The 21,826-nt window shown below is 34.0% G+C and overlaps 1 protein-coding gene across 16 annotated transcripts in view; it reads right to left on the bottom strand.

The window, feature by feature from the left end:
• ADGRG6 (adhesion G protein-coupled receptor G6) overlaps positions 1-21,826 on the bottom strand; it is a 144,255-nt gene that overhangs the window by 41,543 nt on the left and 80,886 nt on the right. For 9 of the 16 annotated variants that reach the window (XM_005267061.4, XM_006715516.3, NM_020455.6 and 6 more), the window contains exons 6-14: positions 20,876-20,959; positions 14,376-14,461; positions 11,719-11,771; positions 10,761-10,823; positions 6,964-7,106; positions 4,123-4,234; positions 2,661-2,725; positions 1,889-2,099; positions 746-917 (exon numbers count right to left, since the gene is read on the bottom strand). In XM_005267061.4, coding sequence (XP_005267118.1) covers positions 746-917; positions 1,889-2,099; positions 2,661-2,725; positions 4,123-4,234; positions 6,964-7,106; positions 10,761-10,823; positions 11,719-11,771; positions 14,376-14,461; positions 20,876-20,959 — 989 coding nt within the window. The remainder of the gene's footprint in view (positions 1-745; positions 918-1,888; positions 2,100-2,660; positions 2,726-4,122; positions 4,235-6,963; positions 7,107-10,760; positions 10,824-11,718; positions 11,772-14,375; positions 14,462-20,875; positions 20,960-21,826) is intronic. The other 7 variants (XM_047419106.1, XM_006715518.3, NM_001032394.3 and 4 more) reach the window with 1 other exon arrangement.

Here is a 21,826-nt window from a genome sequence, read left to right as displayed (position 1 = left end):
CTGGAGTAGGTCCCAGAAATCTGTTTTAACAAGTCCTCTAGTCCTCCAGAAGATTATTTTTTTCTTTTTTCTATTGAGACAGAGTCTTGCTCTGTCGCCCAGGCTGGAGGGAAGTGGCATGATTCCGGCTCACTGCAACCTCAGCCTCCCAGGTTCAAGTGATTCTCGTGCCTCAGCCTCCTGAATAGCTGGGATTACAGGCCTGCACCACCATGCCTGGCTAACTTTTTTTTGTATTTTTAGTAGAAACAGGGTTTACCATGTTGGCCAGCCTGGTCTCAAACTCCTGACCTCAAGTGATCCACCCACCTCGGCCTCCCAAAGTGCTGGGATTACAGGCTTGAGAGACCGCGCCCAGCCTCCTCCAGAAGATTCTAATGTTCAGTTTGAGAACCACTGGCAAAGAGAATGCACCATGCTTCTTTTCACCTTGGGGCCCTTAAAGCTCTTTCCTCTAACTGAACTGATGCTCACCCCAAGTATGGTGGCCCCTACTCATGCTTAGCTCCAGTAACCCCTCTTGTAGAAGGTAAGCTGACCACCCCTGTCACCCAGATTATGAAAGCATACCCACTCTGAGCTCCCACAATACTTTATGGCTACTGCTCTAGTTAAACTTAGCCAACATTCAGACCTTGCCACTTCATGGACCAAGACCTCTTGGAAGCAGCAACTGCTAAGTGATCAGCAAGTTTTTATATGTCTAACTAATTAATTAAAATGAAAGAAACCACTGGCTCATTACCTGGAAATACGATTCATTATTGCTTGGAAGACCAATGCTAAAATTTGAAATTGCATTTGTCCCTGGTAACAGGGATGATACGCTGAGAGCCAAGTTCCGAGTTGTAATATTCACATGTGATGTGCTATTTAGGTCTATCTTGAAGGCCAATTCATCAATTGTTTTTAAAGCTCTAAAGTAACGACAAAAAATGCCACTATTAAGTAATATGATATTTTAGATTCTTAAACATACATGTTTTGCTGCATGGCAAAATACAAACAAAATAAAATTGTGTTTAGATTTTCTGATCTTAACATGAACACCCATAAAATTACCCCAATCCACAGTGATATCTGTTAAAATATGGAATCACAGGGATGGATAAATCCTCAAGAGAAATATCTGCTTTAAAGAAAATTAACAATTAAATCATCCTGAACAAATACTGTTTTTCATTTATTTTAGCCTCTCTTTTCCAACATGAAAAAGCATCCTCCCTACCTTACGGCTTATCAAGAATCAAAGGAAATAATGCGATAAAAGTGTTCTGTGAACTGCAAGATGCCATAAAAATGTTTATATTGTTATTATGTAGATTGTTAGAAAATACATTTTTAACAAATATAAAATTTTCTTCAGAGAAATGTAGAAGAGAAGGAAATAGAAAAACATTAAATATTTTAATATTAATACATTAAATGAAGCAATTAAATACAAATTGAATCATATAAATACAGGTACATTTTCATCTGCCCCAGCATGTTCATTTCAGAAGTCCAACAATCATGTGGCTGTGGCTGTCAGTGGCATAGTTCACAGTATAGTGGACTTATAATGATCAGTTATGCATAACTCTACTGGTCGACTAAATTTAGAATTTTATAATTTTTAAACTAAATTTAGAATTTTCAAATAAAAAATGAAAGACTGCTTATGCTTTCTAGGGCTATGTATATTGTAAATTGTATTTCTCAAAAAAAAAAACACACAGAACTTTTAAGTTCATGTTGTGAATGACCTTGCTTCACTATTAACGACTATCAATACATCTTGCAGAGATTTGAATTCTGAAATCTGGGCACAAAGTATTCAGATAGGTGAGAAATCATGTAACATCATTATCCAATAAAATTTACTCTCCAGGAAAAAAAAAATACTTACTCAGAAGATGACTCAAGCAAGTCACTGTCTGAACTGCTTAAGATATTAGAAAATATATTCATTAGAGTTGAGCCAAGTGTTATATCAATGTTTTCTTCTTTATTCACAATTCTTTTGACCTGTTCCACAATGTTGGTAATATTGGCTGAGGTTAAGTTCTGCCCATCAGCAGTTAAATTTAAAATCTGGTTAGCAACTTCATTTGCTTCTTCTAAAACAAAGGCAGAAGAAAACAACACTAAGTTTTACCTGAATATTTAGAGCATTTCCAGGAATCCAAAGTAGAGTGTAATATTTCACTTTACAGTTGAAGCAAGAAAGTGAGATTTTCCTGTGTATACCTCATCCCCATATTCACAAGGCAATAATATTTCTTTCTATGCAGAGACTAACTTCTCTCTTTAGTAAGATACAAATAACTTGGAGGGATGAATGAACACACAAAGTTCTAAGAGAAACATTCCCAGAATCCCTGAATTAGTGTATATTTGCTATTTAAAATTAATGCAAACTACAAAACATTGATACAAATATCAATTTATATATTAGTTTTGTCTTCTCTAGATTTTCCTTACTATTTTTAATCCCCTACAGAACAGAAAGTTAAAATGAGAGTAAAAAGTATTTTCTGTCTTAAGTGAAACAATCATTTGCCTTTTAATATGAAAACAGTATCACAGAGCAGAAGAATATTCTCGAAGACAATGAAAATCATGAAGCATGAAGTCATGTCATTTTGTCCTTGAGAAATAAAGGAAAACTGCTCACTTACTTAAACAGTTGGAGATATCAACAGGTCCCCAGTAGGTTACCAATGGGTTGGTAGCATTGTAAAAACTATGAAACAAAATAGATATTTTAAATATTTGATATAACTGGTATTATTTTGTACTGCTTAAAGGGATTTTTACATGATATATACATTTATTACAATATGATCAATGGACAAGCTTCCCTTTAAGATACTGAGCTTCTCACTCTTTCCATTTTAATTCTCTGTTTATCTCTGTACCTGTTTATATGTCTACGTTCTATCTCTCTAGCCTATTTCTGTTTATCACCCTATCTATACAATGTTCCCAAATTCTCTCCATTTCTCCACCTCATTCTTCTCACCCTTCCTTATTCTCTCCTCTCTCACCCCAGTTTGTTTCTCCATTTGCACTATTTCCTTCTACAAGTTTTCTTTTCCTGTTTTCCTATAAATGATATTAGAACTGAAAAGATTAGTTAATAACTTTTGGGATTTGCCTTGATTTCTAGGTTAAGTTTCCTTTGAAAATAAAACTGTAATGCACTGAAATAAATTTCATGCTAAAAATTCTTATGGGAAAAAAATCAGTAGCATGCATCTTGGAAACAAAATACCAGCAGTATCCTAACCTAGGATACATTGGCCAAGTACTGCTTTAAGAACTTTACAGGTAAAATCTGATTTTGAGTTCACATAACTCTGCAAAGCAGATTATAATTCACATCTTATAGAAGATTAAATGGAATTTGGTAAATCAACGAATTTTCCAAGTTCTCACAGCCAGGAAGAGATGGAGCCACATTTCAAACTCAAGTCCATACATCTCTACAGTCCCCTTCTTTGCTCCCTACAAAGTGTCAAACCCAGCAATATTTATAGTATGCAAAGTATTTATGCTTAGGCAGTTTCCATTTCTGAATTTCCCCCAGGAAAACTCTAATTGGGAGTGAGGTGGGTAGAGAAATGGATTTGACTTGCTATTCCATGAATCCCTGCAATTATCTAGTCTCTGAGGTTTCTGTTAAACATTTAGAGAAAATCTACACCCTGACAGTTTCCATCAGCAGACTATCCCAATCTGGATCTTGTCTTCATTTCCTCTTTGCCTCCTCTCCCCATTCCAGCAATAATCAGTCAAAATAGTTAAAAAGTTTCGGAATTCCAGACGCATGTTCCAAGGGTAGGCTAGGTTCATCCACATACAAGGTACTTTGCTCTGGTGCTACCCACTGGCTTCTAAACTCTTCAGTTTTTCTGTGAAAGGGCTTGATTAGCATGTGGCTGGGAGGAAAACACTGCCTTTCTGAGTCATCCACTTATGTTATCTTTATTCCCCAGGAGTGAATGATACAGGCATACACAGAGATTCCTGCCCTTCTTTGCAATCAATATAATGCCTAAGAACTACCGTGCTGCACGTATAACCCTGGGAAGGCTGATAACATGTAGCTTTGCTGGCAAGAGTCAGTGAAAATATTACCATATCCGAGAAGCAGAAAAGCCAGGCTTGTCTGGACAAGGAAGAACGTATTCAGAAGGTTGGATAGATGGCCAGTAGTAGCCTTTGGGTTCCTCCATGGCAAGACAATGACCTATATGAACATAAGAACCAGCATGAGAAATATTCACCTATTTTTTAAAGTTAGAGATTAGAGATGCAGGATGAAAGCAAAATGACAATGCTGGTAATTAGGTATTTCTTTAATGTAATACCAAAATATTAGTGTTTATCTTCAGAATTTGTAAAAAAAAAAATTAGAAGTTAGAAAAAACATTAACATTTAATACACTTCAAATCCAAAAATCATTACATTGGACAAAACCTTAAGTAAAAAACACAGTTATGTAAGTATAAACATGAAACATACATTATCATTCTAATCATTAGCAGATACTAGTTTTATTCAAAGAAATAAACCCTACAGAGAAGGAAAACAATCCTGAAAAATTCAAAATGTAATTTGATTTTTTTCAAAGGGGAAAGCCTAGAAATGATGCCTCAATAGTGTCTTCTTTGAGTTGTGTGGCTATTTTATAGAAAATGTTCCAGCTGCTCTGATAGCCTCTCCTGCCTGGAAGCTAACTAAGGGGGACACAGGAAGTCACCTGCAAACCAACAAACTCTCAGACTTCTTTATCCTCACATCATCTGACTTTTTGTTTGACGACTCTCTAAGTAAGCCTCATGACATCAATGATTCAGATTCTACATTTTAAAGGATATCAAAGTAACAGCAATACGTCAACAACAACAATAAACTCTTGTATTTCAGTACTGAGCATTAGTGAGTTATATCAGTTTTCTGGGAACAAGTACTGTCATCACCAACTGAAAATTCAAATAACTTTCCCATGTATACTGTGAACTTTAAAACTGTTAGGTTTTAGCCTTTTATTTTTCCATTGGTAGAAGCGCTTATCCACAGATTCATTTGCAGAAAAACAATAAAACGGATAATTTAAATTAAATGGTATAAATTAAATGTCTAAATATATGGACAGAGTGGTGCTGGGCTTTCACAGCCTATGAGGACAGAGCCAGTGCTGGTCCTCCTAGGGTTCTCCAGTCATAGATAAACTACCATTTGTCAGACTCCTTCTTTGTGAAGACTCCTATACGTGAAAGGGTAGCAGCTTGCATTCTCCCTCCCTCCAAAAAGCCCCATTTGTTAAGAAGTATTTTCCCATAGAGACTCAGAAATGGTTTATTACCATGATTAGTATTATTATTTGCATTCATCCATCTCTATGAGTTCTTTGTAACGGTGTACATCCACCCAATAGAGATGGGTGGCTCCTCACAGAAGTGGAGATGCCTGCCTCTTTACTAGACTGTGATTATGGCCTTGGTCGCAATCGCCCTCTTCAAGGCTGAGGAACACTTGCCTCCCTCAATTCAACCTCCTGAGTGTAGAGAAGGCGAAGGGTCAAAGTTTTCTTTTCTTTTGATCTCTACTAATGTACCTAATCACAGTATAATTGCAATCATAGAATAACATTAAAACAATTGCTTTTTGTTATCCATATTTGTGAACATTTGATTTCCTAAAATATTCTCATGCAGACTCATTCATTTGTCTATTCAACAAGTGTTCCAGTTCCAGGGAATGTGCTGGGTTCTGGAAATATGTGGGAAGTAAGAGTTAAAGAAAAAAGAAAATATGATCTTAAGTCAGAGATTATTGTTTACAGAATATATACATATATATATATGTGAACATAAATATATCTAGTCTTCTAAGTACTATGGTCTTCTGATGCATATGATGCTCTAGGCATCTGGACAGCATGAAGTAGAGGCTCAAAGGCAGTGATGTCTATACTTTATTTCAGAAAAGGTTCCAAAGAAGAGCTGACTTAGGAGCTGTCTTTAAAAATACATAGGTGATAATGAGGTTGCCGGTGGGAGTGGAGAAGAACAGTGTGCAAAGATATAGAAAGGGTATCTAAAGGAAGCAGCACAGCCTCTTTGTGGAAGTACAAGCCGTGCCATATGTGTGGCTAGAGCTTAGGATGTGAACGATCTCCAGGAGAAACTTGATTTTAGGTCCAACAGAATCCCTACATTCATGACCTAGTCCTGTGAAGACAGTGGTATCACTAATAGAGACAGGGAACATGAGAGAAGGAGACGTTTTCTGTTTGTTTTTTTGAGACAGGGTCTCATTCTGCTGCCCAGGCTGGAGTGCAGTGGCATGAACATGGCTCACTGCAGCCTTGACCTCCCAAGCTCAGGTAATCCTCCTGCCTCAGCCCCGCCTAGTAACTGAGATTACAGGTGCACAGCACAACACCCAACTAATTTCTTAATCTTTCGTAGAGACAGTCTCCCTGTGTAGCCCAGGCTAGTCTCGAATTCCTGGGCTCAAGTTATTCTCCACCTTGGCCTCCCAAAGTGCTGGGATTATAGGCATGAGCCACCATGCCCAGCAGGAGATGTTTTAAAACAGGAAATCTCCTTCTATAAGATTTATCTCATTAGAGTTCCCACATTCACATCTACACACTCTTTTTTTTCCCTAAAGTTGACAACAGTGATGATCAAGATTATTCTGGCATTTTGTTCATATTGTTAGTATTTTCAAAATATGTTCCTAAAGTAAAATATAAACTTTCATCTACCTCCTTCATTCCCTTGGATTCACAGACACTGAGCTGATTTTTTTTTTCTGCTATGTCATTCATTTGTTACTGAACTTCACCATCAGAAAAAAAACTTACATAAACAAATAGCGCATAAAGAAAATTTCTGCTGTTGTTTCAAGTAAACCTGAATATACAGTTGTATAAAATGCATATTATAAAAAAATTAGTCACTTACCCAGTTGTCTCACATTCACTGTATGTAGCCTCAAGCCTTCATCCAAGGACTCATTATTTTTTAGGAGCTTCTGCTGAATGATTTTTCCTTCCAAATTAGTATTGTTGGTAGCATTGTAAACTAGAAGGGCCCAAAGCACCAACCTAGGGAAACATTTCGGATAGAACTGTTGTTGTTGTTCATTGGTTGCTTGTCATTTGGTAGGAGAAACAGAGTATTTGGATGTAGAGGGATGACCATCACCTGTTGAGACTGAAGAGATTAGCCAAGGTGCTCACAGACTTTCTCTGCTGCTGTGTAAATTATAATGTTAAAAATATTCCAATATTAATAGATTCTATAGGCTATTGCTTGTATAATTCTGTCAAATAACTCCATTTCTTTTCAGAAATATTTTAATATTTAATATTTATAGTAATACATTATATAGTCATTTAAAGCATAAACACAAGAAAACAGCATTCCTGTGGTTAATTCTACATTTTTTCTTTGTGGCCCCAAATTAATTTTTTTTAATAAAACTATGATTTCAACTGACCATTTATCTTTTGAAATTACCATTTCTAACTATTAGAAATTAACTATTTATATTTACTAACACTATAAAAGTGTTACTATTCATGAATGTGATATAATTTCTTCAGAATAGCAACAAATGATTTTCTATCTCCATGAGGCATTTGCAAATACTTTTTATGGTAAAAAGTTTCACAAAATAAATACTTAAAATCGACTCTGTGATTGGTCAGCATATTACTTAAGAAGGTTATAGAATGGTTGACTTTGAAGGTCTTTAAAAAGGAAATACCTCTATGGGAAGCAAAGAAATGTATCCCCAAAGCCCTGTTAAAAACTTTTGGTTCTACAATTTAAAGTAATATAATTTTCTGTTCCACTACAATCACAGCTATAGTCAAAAGCAGAAATCAAAACTATTAATTTAACACTGAGGTAAAAGTAAGTAACATTATTTTGTCAGGTAGAGGAGAATTTCTTTTGCTTATATGTGAAAGCTCTGGATTCACAAAAAAATTGTTTCTTCTTCATATTCAGAGGAGAAATGAATAAGATAAGACGTTATATTATTGAGATCAGTTACTGTCTTCACGCCAAAGACAAAGTGGTAGTATTGTTTTTAAACTAGTTATGGAATGTCTAGTGGAGAGGCAGTGACATTTTATTTATGAAACTATGAATATTAATAAGTATTATAGTAGTAATTTATTTGTGGTGTTAAAAAATAAGAAGGAATATGTGAAATATTTGCTATTCAAGGCTAGGTGAAATTAAAGAATAGCTCAAGTTTTCTTTCCTAAATATCTGTGCTAATTTCAAGGAATAGGTGCTCTACTCTTCTCATAATTAACTCTGAAAAGCTCTCTCTAAAATGATCTACTGCTTACCATTCGCATACAAGCCATATTTCAGGATGAGGCAAACATAATGAATATAATGATAGCTGTGAACATAGATGTGACTATGATAGCTTAACAATTTTTAAAATGGCCCATGAAAAAGTATCCCTGGATTAAGTCATTGTTTAAAGACAAGCTTCGCCACTCCAGTTGGTGAGAACTTACAGCTGGGAATGTGACCTTTTACTTGTCTTGAATACTGAGAACATAATTAGCCCAAAGTATTGTGGGTGATATTGAATACCCAAACCCAACAAGTCAGGAATAGCCATACATTTTCACAGGTCTTATCTGTGTGTTTTCCTCTCTCATCCTGAAAACTGAAACTATTTTATGGTTCTACAAAGTTACATTCTATCTGTTGTTACCATCAGCCATTCTTTATTTGAAAAAAACCTCTCTGTGGCTTTGGTTTCCTGTCTGTCTAGGCAATAGAGTATGACAGCATTATCTGAAGCTATGGTCTGTGTTAAGTGATACAATCAAATTGAAAGGAAAAGTTTTTTTAAAAAACAATGTATGTAAAAGTAGTAGACTGTGGTTTTGACAAAAACTGAGACTATAAAGCCTCACCAATGAGGGTAAGAGCCATAGAGAATAGAAAAAAGAGACAAGAAAGGCTATAAACATAAATATTAAATAATGGCAAGAGTTCATACCAAAAAGCCCCTAAATATGTGGATTTTGCTATATACACTGTCTCAGTTCATTCTCCCTATAATTTTCTGTAAAATTACTCATTGCTTTGAAGACCAGGAAACTGAAATCCCATGAATTTAAATGTCCTTCAAGAAGAGTTTCTGAGGTGCTGACATGTACTAACGATGGCTGATTTTAGTATCACCAGGTAGTAGAAGAACCACAGTAAGTACACTAAAAAGCGGACGCTGACTGCCTGAAGAAGGTATACCATTGGCTATATCTACCAAACCCAGGGCTGTCCCAGTTGCTACACAAAGTGTCCAGCAAAGGGATCCTGATTGCTGCTGGATCCATTACTGAAGATGCAATATGACCTAACAGAAAGGATTGAAAAAAATTATTTGGTTAAATAGTGGAGAAGAGTTCTGTCACCTTCAAGAATACAGTACTGAAATATACTACTGTGTTTTCATATCATAAAGAAAAAATTATAATACCAGAAAATAAAAACAAGTTTCCCTAATCACATGGCTCAATCCAGTCCATTTACTATGTATACAAAAATGACATCTTTCAATATAACTTTCAAAACATTTGTTTTTCTAGTGTTGAAAAGAAAAAAAAAGCTCTCTGGTCAATTCTCATATGAAATTTTATCTTTTCATAGTAAGAAGATATCACCTGAAAAGAAGCAAGCTCCGTCATCAGGGCTGTATATCCATAAGATTTAATTCAGTCTATTGAGATCCAGCAAGACTTATAGAAACTTTTGCTTCACAACAAATTTTTAAAAAATTGTATGGAGGCCAGATATGACATCTCACGCCTGTACATGTAATCCCAGCACTCTGGGGGGGGCTGAGACAGGAGGTTTACTTGAGGCCAGGAGTTTGAGATGAGCCTGAGCAACATAGCAAGACCCAGTCTCTACAAAAATAGTATTTTAAAAATTAGCCAGGTATGCTAGCACATGTGTGTAGCCCCAGCTACTCAGGAGGCTAAGGCAGGAGGATCATTTGAGCCTAGGAGTTCAAGGCTGCAGTGAGTGATGGTCACACCACTGCACTCCAGCCCGGGTGACAAAGTGAGACTCTGTCTCAAAAAAAAAAAAAAAAAAATCTACAGAGATGCAATACATGACCTGAATAACCTAAATACAACTAAATTTATTCCATTTGGAAATTTAGGGTTTTTTTGTTTGTTTTACAGTACTCTGAACATTTGGTCCTTACATGCCAACTGGTCATATATGCTGGACATATCCATTAAATTACCTGCATGATTAAGGCATGATCCTGATATAAATATTAAAAGGGAGACTTCAGAAAATTAACTAATAGCTTTAAATGCTGAAAACATTTAGGCATCTATTATCCATATTATTAGATGTTATCATATATAAACACTTTATTTAAAGCTATTTTCTTTGAAGGTACCTTTGCAATTTCAAGTAAGAGGCAATGGGTTATGATAAATAAACTGGAAATACTAAAAATAATAATCCATCCATTTTAAATGCCCTATTTCTCAATTATTTTTCATTGGATATACATTACTACCCAGTCTGTTACATTACAGTTTTAACTACAAGAAAAAAGTAGTGTACAGCAGTGCTAAAGAAATAACTGTGCTATGTGATTAAGTTTTTCTTTCCTATCTAATTGTTTTCATTTCTCTACCAGATAAAGTAGTGAGCAAGAGAAAGAATGTTATACTCTTTACAATACTTTGTCCTGTTACCTTGGCTCATCCTCAAGGCTTCTCTTGACTTTAATCTTGTCCTCTCCAGCACTCAGGTGAAAACTAAAAACACAAATACATATATTCATTAATCCACCTCACCAACTACATCATCAACAATAAAATTTGGGGACCTGAAATAAAGAGACAGAATGGGAATTCTAAGCCAATATTTTCAAATGTGTGTCCTGAGGTTCTAGCTTCTTTCAGAAAGCTAGGCAACTGTGTGCTTTTGCTCTGTTTTGAAGATTCACAATTCATATTATTACACTAAAGAAACTGAGACGTTCTGATAAAAAAATCTGCTTCAGTTTGTACAATAACGTACTTCCTGAACTTATATGACAATTTGACACCTGTTCTGTGTTATTAAATCTCTTATCTTCACAGAATATATGTTTAGGGGTCATGACATACACTTTAGAAAACTAGTTCAGGTATAGAACTATGAAAACAAGGTACACAGGAGGATATATGGACAATACAAATTGCTGAAGATAGTGGAGGATTTAAATATAAATACAGTGAAGGATAATTTCGAAAAGTTAGGTTGCAATCAGACAGACTGTCGATGTACGAAATTAGATCTGGAAAAAAAAGTGGTCTTGAAATGGGTACACACAACCAGGGGGTGCTCTAGGTGATCCACCAGGGTGTGAGAAGAAACTAACAACTTCTATTTATATTTAATTATCCGATTTTAATTTTTGACACATTATAACATGATTTAAAACAAATACAAATTAACTGTAATGCATGATCAAAACAGTTTAAAACCATCGCTGCAGCATGGAGGTTTTTTGTGCAATGAACTAATACACAGTTGTTTTAGAAAGATTATGTATATAGTAGCTATGTGTGTGTATTTGTATGTATATTTTGGTACAATCAGAGAGACAAATAGTAGCATTAAATTAGACACTACTTTTAATTTATCAAATAATTTATTCTGTCTTACCTGATATTAACGACATAAACCGTGTAGTTCCAATTTTGGAAGGTTGAATTGAGCTGGAAAACACAATGGAAAAGGCTGAGTTTTGCTAATACCTTTAAAAAATATCTAATTCAAGTTTCTACCTAAAACATAAGTTGTTACTGAGATAAGACCCTGGGAAAATCCTGAAGAGTTGGAGGAGTGAACAGTTAATGGATCATTGTAACAGTTAATGGATCACTGTATACCAAGAATTTGATAAATGTTATTCCTTTCAATCCTCACAACAACCAATGAAATAGGTATTATCCCCACACACCCCATAGTCTTATATATAAAGAAACTGAGCTTTCACAGATAAGAAATGGTTTGCCCAAGATCACCCAAGTAAGCAGTAGCAGATGCCAGATTGGAACCCAAGTCTGTCTGTTTGGAAAACTATCATTTCCTCTCTAGCCCTCATATTAAAGAAGATTTGCAATAAATATCTTCTCTATTCTTCATTTAACAACACTAAGATACACTAAACATTTTTCTAGTAATTACCATCTCACAATATTAGTAATAAGAAAAATTATAAATTAACAATATAAATTAAAAAAATAAAATAAGTTCAATACTATTGGAACTATGTATTTATTATGTGGTTATTTAGCAGTCTTTATGGTCTCAGCATAAGAGTTTTTAATGAAGCAATGGATTCCTCCAATATAAAGAAGCTTCTATGATGCAGTTTCCCATACAACTGCAAAACGAGATTCCCTCACTGACATGAGAGACTCCTATTTACATATCATCTCCGAATAGTGATTTAGGCCTTGTTTCATACACACATTTAGCCTCTCTTTTAAGCATTTCTAAAACTGAATGTAAGTTTTAGGGAATCCTGGCAAAAAAAATGTTAAATTATTTTAAAATTGTAAATAGTAATAATTTGAAACAGGTACACTATTTATATTTTCTCTGTTATCAAGTATCTGCTTTGGTATCTTGCATTTTAAACAAAAATGTCTAGTAAAGTTTAGCTGCAGATGAGAATAAAGCTATGTTGAAAACCATGCATGAAGTAAATATAAATGTAAGCTTATACCTTATCTAGCACAAACTTTCTAGTGAATGCTAAATTTAGATTAATAACATTACCCATTATTTGCACAAATAAGCTAACAGTAGCTTATTTGAGAATGAAAATAAAGAATTTTATCTTCTGAAATCACTCTAACTTTAAACAAAAAGAACAACTCTGGAAAGAAAATGGGATACACAGAAAGAATATACTCTTTCTGCAGCCTGCTCTCTCCATTGAGAGGTTAAACATCTCCTAGTATTTGAATGAGTTACTAATCTCAATGTGGCATTCCCAAAAATCAAACGTAGTATTTTTCTTTTATTTCAGTAGAGGATTTCACCTTTCTCACCAACTTTGTAACAGAGTTAATTACCTACTATTGTTACCTATGGTCAACTTTTTTTTAAAGAGTACTGCCTTTAAAATGAAGACTGTTTTCTATCAGTTATTTTTCAAATATATATAGATGTCTCTGTGTGTGTGTGTGTGTGTGTGTGTGTGTGTGTGTGTGTGTGTGTAGCTACCACTTCCTCTCAATGCGTAAACTTTCTTTTGCTACCAAAGACACGTTTATCAAACACCAAATATATATGAAAACCCATTTTTCTTATTTCAGAATGTATAGTGACTCAATTAAAAAAATTGTTTGAACTGTAACAGCATTATATATAAAAAGAAGTACAAAGTCTCACAGTATGCTGTAGGTAGGAAATGAAATAATAGAAAAAATAGAAACCTATGGAAAATAAAATTGAGATTGTTATTGTGAAGAAGAAAATGAAAAAATCCATGTGTTGTATTTGTAAGAAAAAGAAGAAAATAAAATGTTAAATTTTTTAAATTGAAAACTACAAAATGTTTACCAATAGGATACTGGTTAAATAAATTACAGCCTAACTGTCCATCAACAGAAGATCTGCTAAATAAATGACTGAACAGCCACATAATGAAATATTATGCATTGTTTTTTCAAAACAAAAAAAACATGTAGTTCTCTAATGTTGCAAATCTGGCAACAATAAAAATAAGTACGGTATAGAACGGTATGTAAAGTATACTACTTTTCGTGTAAAAAAGAAGGAAAATAAGAATCTATAGTTTAATTTTCTTTCATGTGCACAAAGAAATCTGGAAAAAAGCGGAGAAAACTAATAGTGATTTCCTATTTGCTGTTGGTTATTGGGTTGGTTCCATGCAGATGAGCAGCAAGGATGGGTGGAAGACTTTCATAATGCGTCTTTTCATACTTGCTGGTTTTGATCAAACATTCAAACAATTTTTAAAATAATCTATTTAAAAATATAGCAGAAAATACATGGATCTAATATGAAATACAGATACCTGTTGCCACCAAAATCTATTTCCATTTGTGCGATACTTTTCTTATTTAAGACATTGATAGTCTATTAGGCTCAGTTCTTATCCTTTATTCAAATGTACTTCTCTTCCTATGCATAAGGACAACACCTCACTTACATATCTACTCATATATTTCTAATGAATACCATCTGTGTTTCAGTATGATCTGTGGATTCAGTTAACTAGTCTTTTCCAGATTCCCAGAAGTTAAAGAATTTTTTTAAAAAAGAAAAGTTACAAGCTCACTTACCCATTCTGCCACCTTGCTCTGTACTTTTACCTCAGGGTGACGAAGGATGTTCTGAATCACTACGGATATTCTATAGATAATTCCATCTGCCCATTGGAAATAGGATTAGTCCATTAATTATATGTTTATAGTTATATAATTATCAAACAATTTAAAGTTATGATCATGTAAGTCTTACATAATCATATAGTTTTATTCATAATCACATAATTTACAATATAAGTTAAAAGAAACACCTTCTACATAGGCAAAAAAAGTTCTGAAATATTTTGATGTTAAGCTTATTGACCTTCCAACTTCTTAGAAATAGTTATCAATTAGCTTACTCTTATTACTTGCATATGTTTCTTCATATTTTTAATTCTATAGATTTCTTATATCTACTGTCTGTAATGTGTTAACTGTTTTCATGTACAATTTGACTTCTTATAACAGGCATTATGCTTTCTGTGCATTATAAAGAATGATAAAGAGTTTGGGATGTGAAAACTTGAATGAGATCATATGGAGGAATTAACTTGAAAAAGCAGAACAGGCATACACATACTTACTACCCTAATTCCTCTCCTTTTCCTCTCTTTCCCCTGCTTAATAAAATACTTCTATTAAACTACTAGGCTGCATTTCACCAGACTTTTCATCAAAATTTCTTAAATATGCTCATTTATACCAAAATAGAGGGAAAAAAAGAAACAATATTTGCAGGTAGAATTTTCATTGGACTAAATCACTTGAAAAAGAAAATAAAAAGAAAACCTTATTGTAAAGAAGATTCTGCTCTTTGGGTGGGGGGAATCTTTAAAGTAAACTGATTTTTTAAAATGAAAAATCAAACTCACCAGCAAGGGTTTGCTAAATAGCTGTAAATGGGTGCTTTAGTCAAAGTAGCTAGTAAGAAAAATACCCTTTTAAATTATGGTAAGATACAGAGAGAAGAAAATTTTTTGAGTCTCCTTTGTTGATCATCTTTCTTCATGCTTATGTTTAGGTAAGTCTTAAGTAAAATAGGCACACAAAATATAGAAATACATAATTATAGCAATGTTGAAGAAAACAGTAAAAATTGTGGGGAGGCAGTAGAAAAAAAAATGTAAAAGTTTGCCTCTGGGAATTTCCAAATCCACCAAAATGCAAATTCCAGTCCCACTACCAAAGGAATGTCTTTCCAGTAAGAATCAGAGTCTTGTGCTAAACAATATAAATTGCTGCCCCTGGATGTAGTAATATAAATATATAAAACTGGCACAAGTCCAAGCACAGGTGAGTTTAATTTATGCAGACTATTTCAACTTCTAAAATTCTTCGGGTATTTTAATGATCTTGACTTTTATATTCCTTTAAAAAATGTTCTGAATGAAAAATATTTGGAGGAACATATAAAACAAATAATTCATATAAAGATAACTTTTACACTGTGGATCTCATCAAATAAAATCACAGATGTTCTGAATGATTGGGAGGAAATTCAGAATTGCAAGGGTCAAAGAGTTATTTCAGGATCCTGATAATATTCTGTGACTATACAGAAGCTTCCCTACTTACAGTTCAAGATCATTCAACTTTACGATGGTGGGAAAACAACAGGCATTCGGTGGAAACTGTACTTCTAGTACCCATATGACCATTTCACTTTTCACTTTAAGTTCAGCATTCAATAAAGTACATGAGATATTCAACACTTTATTATAAAATAGACTCTGTGTTAGATGATTTTGCCCAGCTGTAGGCTAAGGTAAGTGTTCTGAACGTGTTTAAGGTGGGTTCAGCAAGCTATGATGTTCAGCAAGTTGGGTGTATTAAATGTATTTTTGACTTTTGATATTTTCCAGTATTTTCAACTTAATAGTGGGTTTATAGGAATGCAAACCCTACCGTAAGTGGAGGAGCATCTGTATTATCAATGCTAGCAGAGTATCTGAAAAGCCACCACTAGATGGAAACCTAAAGCATGCTTTTGTTATAACAGTAGTATTTGTTCCCTCTAAGGAAAATATTGCAAAATTCTAAAAATCATTGACATTTCTGAATTTTTAAGAAAGCATCCAAATATTTAAGATGTTTTCTTTAAACATTGTTTCCTGCCCCAGTCCACTTGTTATACTTATTTAAAATTTTGGAATAGTGCAGTCAACAAGTAACCATGAGAAAAGTCCAAGAGTGAACTGTCAAAGCAACATAAAAAAATATGCCCACTGAAGGGCTGATGAGCAGGGTTTTGGACTACAGCAAAATAATTGGCTTCAACATTGCCATTGGAGGAAATGCATAATTAAGACACACTTATGCAGGATTTTCCATGTTACCATAGCAGTAAAGTTGTCCTCTCTTACAAATGTTAACAACACTCACGGTGTTTTAAAAGCTATTCACAAATCTTCATGTGTTCCAGAGACTTCAAAATATGTATGTACTATCCTAATAATGACATCTAGGCCCAAAGAATTTATTATAGACATTAATTGGGGAAAAATGATTTAAGAATATATCCATTTTCCATTTAGATACTTCTTTCAGCATGTAGAACTTCAAGCAGAAATCACTGTCTGCCATTACCAATGTATCAAAACAACATTATTTTTTGTAGGTCTCTCTCCAATTAATCTTTCCCTTTTTTATCTTCTTACACTTTTTTCAGAGTTTCTTGGAGAATACAGAAATGACACTGCTCTATCTATGCTATTTCAAGGACGTAAAATACAGGTTTGAAATGATAGGCCTATTTGAAAAAATAGACGTTAAAATATAAACCAAATGCTAATCTAGACACCTGGTTATTTCTTTGAACTAGTGATGAGGCAATTCTATTACGACAGTGGCATTTACAATATGACTGGCATCCTGCAGCTCCTACATACACAATTTCTTTAAGACATATGGCATAAAAAGCTAGAGTAATGGATCCATTCAAATGATCTTAGAAGGAATTTGTTATTTAAGCAGCTAAACGTATGTGAGAAACTGGAAGCAGTGTTACAATCTGTACTTACTTGTAAACTAGGTTTTTAGAACAATAATAGAGACTAATGGAGTTAATTCCTTACTTGGGTTGCTTGTGACAACCTCACAAAAGCTTACTATTCAGTAGCTAGTGATGTTTGAGCAGAGAAGATATGATTTGGAATGGAATAATAATTAGTCCAAGAGCTTTTCTTGGGAATGTAATGGAAAACATAAAAAAGATCATTATTTGTGGGAATCCCCAGATTACCCATATCCTGAAATATCTGTTTGTGAAAAGTAGCTTTAAAGACTTTCTTAGTGTACACAGCAGGTCCTTGAGTAACATCATTTCATTCAACAGAGCTTCATTACAAAGTTGATGAGGAGACGACTCAATGCCTGGCCAGGTCCCCTGTCTGCGTAGGGTCTGCATGTTCTCCCCTTGTCTTCATGGGGTTTCTCCAGGTCCTCCAGTGTCTTCCCACATCCCAAAGCTGTGTACCTTGGATTCACTGGCCTGTCTACATGGTCCCAGTGTGAGTGGGTGTGGGTGTGTGTGAGTGTGCCCTGCCATGGGATGGAGTCCTGGCCAGGGCTAGTTTCTGCCTGCTGCCCCGAGCTGCCCAGATGGCTCCAGCCACCCGCTACCCTGAACTGGATGGAATAAGCAGGTTGGAAAGTCAATGAATGAATGGCTACAAATTACTGTAAAACAAAAATTCATAAAGTATAAGATAATCATATAAATGCACGACAATAAGTGATACAGTATGAAAGCACTCGGCAAACCCCCATATTGGTGATTGTTTTGGAACTGCTTGGTGGCAGGAGGTGCTCCTCACAATTTTCATTGTGCAAAAATTTGTTTCTTGATTTAACCCACCACCGCCACTAAGACTGCAGTCACTCACTGGCTCACCCAAAATTGGGCAATCAATTATCTTACTTGTTTTCACTAATGTTTCTTAAATGTATGTACAGCTCATATTAACTGCAATGTTTAATATTAGAAGTGTTTCGGCCTTTATTTGGAAGTTTGGTGATGTTTCTGTGACCAGAAATATGCCGTAGGAACTTAACTCTTGTTTATATCAATCAGCCTATGGTAAGATTGGTTTCATTACATGTTATTTTACTCAAAGTCAGAATTTCCAAGAACCTATCAATGACATTAATGAGGACTTAGTGTAATTTGAGGTATCAGATAAAAGTCCTATTGCAAACAACAAAAATAACTTCACACAGAAAAACAGGGACATTTCACAAAAGCCAGGAAAACAAATTCTATTGATATACTATGATAAATATATCTGATTATCAAGCAAACTCAACCCCTCTCCTCTCCCCACAATGCAATATTGTTATTGATTAATTCAGTAAAATTCTGATAGCCAAGAGTTAAAAGGAATGGACAAATTAGATAATAGATTTGACAGTTGTGCCAATCTTTCTTACAGTAAATAAAATAGTATTCTCTAATATATCAGAATGTAAGCCTGAGAATCTTTACTCTCTGTTTCCCAAAGAATAAGAAATTATTAATGTTATATCAATGATGATAATCCAGGACATGACATTAAATAGCATGTATTCATAAGGTGAAAAAGTAATTCTCTTTTCAATTATTTCAAATTTGATTACATCAAAGAAAAAAAACTTAATATAGTCTGTCTCTAATACTTTGTTAGTCTTCCTTTTTAAAAAGATAATAAAGGCTTCAGGCGCTAAGATGTGAGAAGGCAATAGGATACAGGGAGAATTTTAAAACATTGTTTACATTATATTTATATTCACTTTTTACAACTGTGTTATAACAAGTAGGACTGGTTTCACTTTACAATTGTGAAATAGATTTTCCCAAGTAAACACAAATGTTTACATTAAAAAGTGAGTCAATTTAGGAAAAAAAACATAGTAAATAGTATAGGTGGTTCAGAGACATGGTAAAAATAACAATTGTTAAGATGGTACACAAATTTGAGAACACAATTTTGAGAATATTTCTGTCATATAATGACCTGAATATTTTTAAACGCTGATGACATTTTGATTAAGAATTATCTGAATTAGATTTTTTTCATTAATGTGGTCAAGACAGACCATTTTAACTGATTCTAACATTTGCTTGCTTTGTTAAAACTCCAATGAAGGTTATGACGCAGAGAGAGATGGCCTAAACAAGGCTTTCTTCAAGAATGTCAGAAATGACATGATTGAGTGAATACAGCTCCACTCCACCAAGTCAAGGACTCTGAAGCACCGTATAAATGTTCTTGGACAGTAGAGGATGTGTCAATCCTGGAGGGAGAATACCACAGAGGCTCTTTGTATGTTCATACAAAGAGTGAAATACTTAGTTAGAATTATAATATTCCCATCTACTGGCTAGAGTCCATGTGAAATATGCACTGGAAATTTCAGCTGCTGTTGCTTTCTTGGGGGTTGCTGGAATTTTTGCTCCATCATAAATCTCCTTGGTGTAACTATCAGAATAACCATAAACACTATCTGAATCGATGTCTTTATAACCCTACTGAAATTTATATCTATGTTTCATGTAAAATATTCCATAGTTCCAATTTAAATGTCCTACAGAGGAAATTGATGTAACCTCTGAAGCCAAGAAAAAATGAACTATGTGGGTTTCTTTTCTCAGGGTTTTGGGTCCCTGGTGATATATTACAGATGTCTTGGCCTCATAAGCTAAATGACTGGAGTTTAGAAAATTCCTTTGTTTCTAATGCTTCATATTTGAGAATATTACTGTATTCAAAGCAATGGTGTGGTCACCTGATTGGAATTTCTCTTTTATTAGAAGAAACTGAAATTGCTCACTGTGAATTACTGAAAGGCCATGTATGTCGTTCATCTAGGAACAGGTTAAAGAATTCCACTCACCTGACTTTTCCTCTGTTTATTTCTTACCGTACACTGCTGTATTTGCAAATTATAAATAATAGAAAAGTATATTTGGAGAAAAAAGCAAGAAGTATTTGAAGTTGTCATTCAAAATTTGATTTGTTTTAGTTGATATATAATCATATTCTATTATTCTTCGGCAAATAAAAACAGAAAGCAAAGTATTACTATGGACATTGATGTAAATGTCACAAATATATGACCATAAAGTTCACTTAAGTGAGAAATTAAATTATTAAAATTACTTAATTTTTTGAAATTTATAAAATCCTTTAAAACTTGTTTCCTGCAGCAAATAATCTGACAAAATACCATGGAAATACGTTTTTCTCTGATCTCTATTATGATGCACATTAATGCCTTCTAATTAAATGCCTTTCCCCTAAAACTTCCTTTGAAAAAAATTTTGGCTAAAAGCGCAAAAGAGGAGTACTGGAGATGTACTCATTCCACTCGTCATAAGAATGAGGAACTCAACAGAGTTAAGTGATCTTTATTAATTTTACTAATCTTGTAAACCTACAAATGTACCAATTGACTCCAGTAACAGACACTTTGTTGGAATAATACATATTTCCATCCTTAGAATACAATTTTTTATGTTAGACATACTAAAAATATAAAAGGTAATGATTTCTTACCATTCCTTTGTTTATCGATTCTGTTAGTAACAGGCATGTTAGTGGTGACAGTGGGTGGTGTAGTACTAGGAGAGTTTACAGTAGCTGGTAATAAAGATGAGAAAGATGTAATTTTGCAAAGAGCACATGACAGTTAATTTGGATAAGCAATCTATAATTAATGCATTAAAATATATAGGGGAAGAATGGAAACCACTTTGAAATACAAAAGACTCCAAGGTTGTAATGTATAAGATGAAGCAATGCTTTCTATGGCACATTAAGAATCAGTACACATGGCCTTTGATGCTATAATACACAAGGGTCTGGAGCAAGCACATAGTGATGAGAGAAAGGACATTTTGATTCTAGATTCTAGACCTAGATCTCCATTAACAAGCTGGCAATCACACAGTAAAACACTAAACCCTTCTAGAACTTGGTTTCCTGAGTCTGTCAAAAGAAAAAGTTATAGAAAGCAGCCTGTACAGATCTGCAGCTTGAAAGTTATCTAAACTAAGTTTGCCTAATACACTGAGACTAGAGAAATAAAATCTCAGAAGAAAAATGTACTTCTTCTTAAGATGAATGTAAAGAAAAAGACAAATGAAATGCATAGACTAAGTTAATCATTTAAAGATTCCAAAAAGTTTACTAAACATTGATGGATAAAAAGTATTTCACAGGGCAAGCTTTATAAGGGAGACATTTTCAAAGTATTATGTCAGATATCCCAGGTGAGAAGAATTTTAAAAATAAAAATAACTTTTTTTAAACTTCAGATCTTGAACTAAACAGAATTACAGATTTTTTTATTTCATATAACAATTTGAAAACCACATGGAGATCATGGAAAAAAAAACTACTTGATGACTTAATTTTCATAGGGTATTGATTAATAATAATATCAAAGAAATAATGTCTCCAAAAGGAAAAAAAGATAATAATGAGTTACCCCACCCCACCTCCTGC

Source organism: Homo sapiens, chromosome 6 (assembly GCF_000001405.40).
Source record: "Homo sapiens chromosome 6, GRCh38.p14 Primary Assembly".
Classification (NCBI taxonomy): domain Eukaryota; kingdom Metazoa; phylum Chordata; class Mammalia; order Primates; family Hominidae; genus Homo; species Homo sapiens.
Note: the sequence above shows the minus strand (reverse complement) of the source record. Positions and strands in the feature narration are given on the sequence as shown.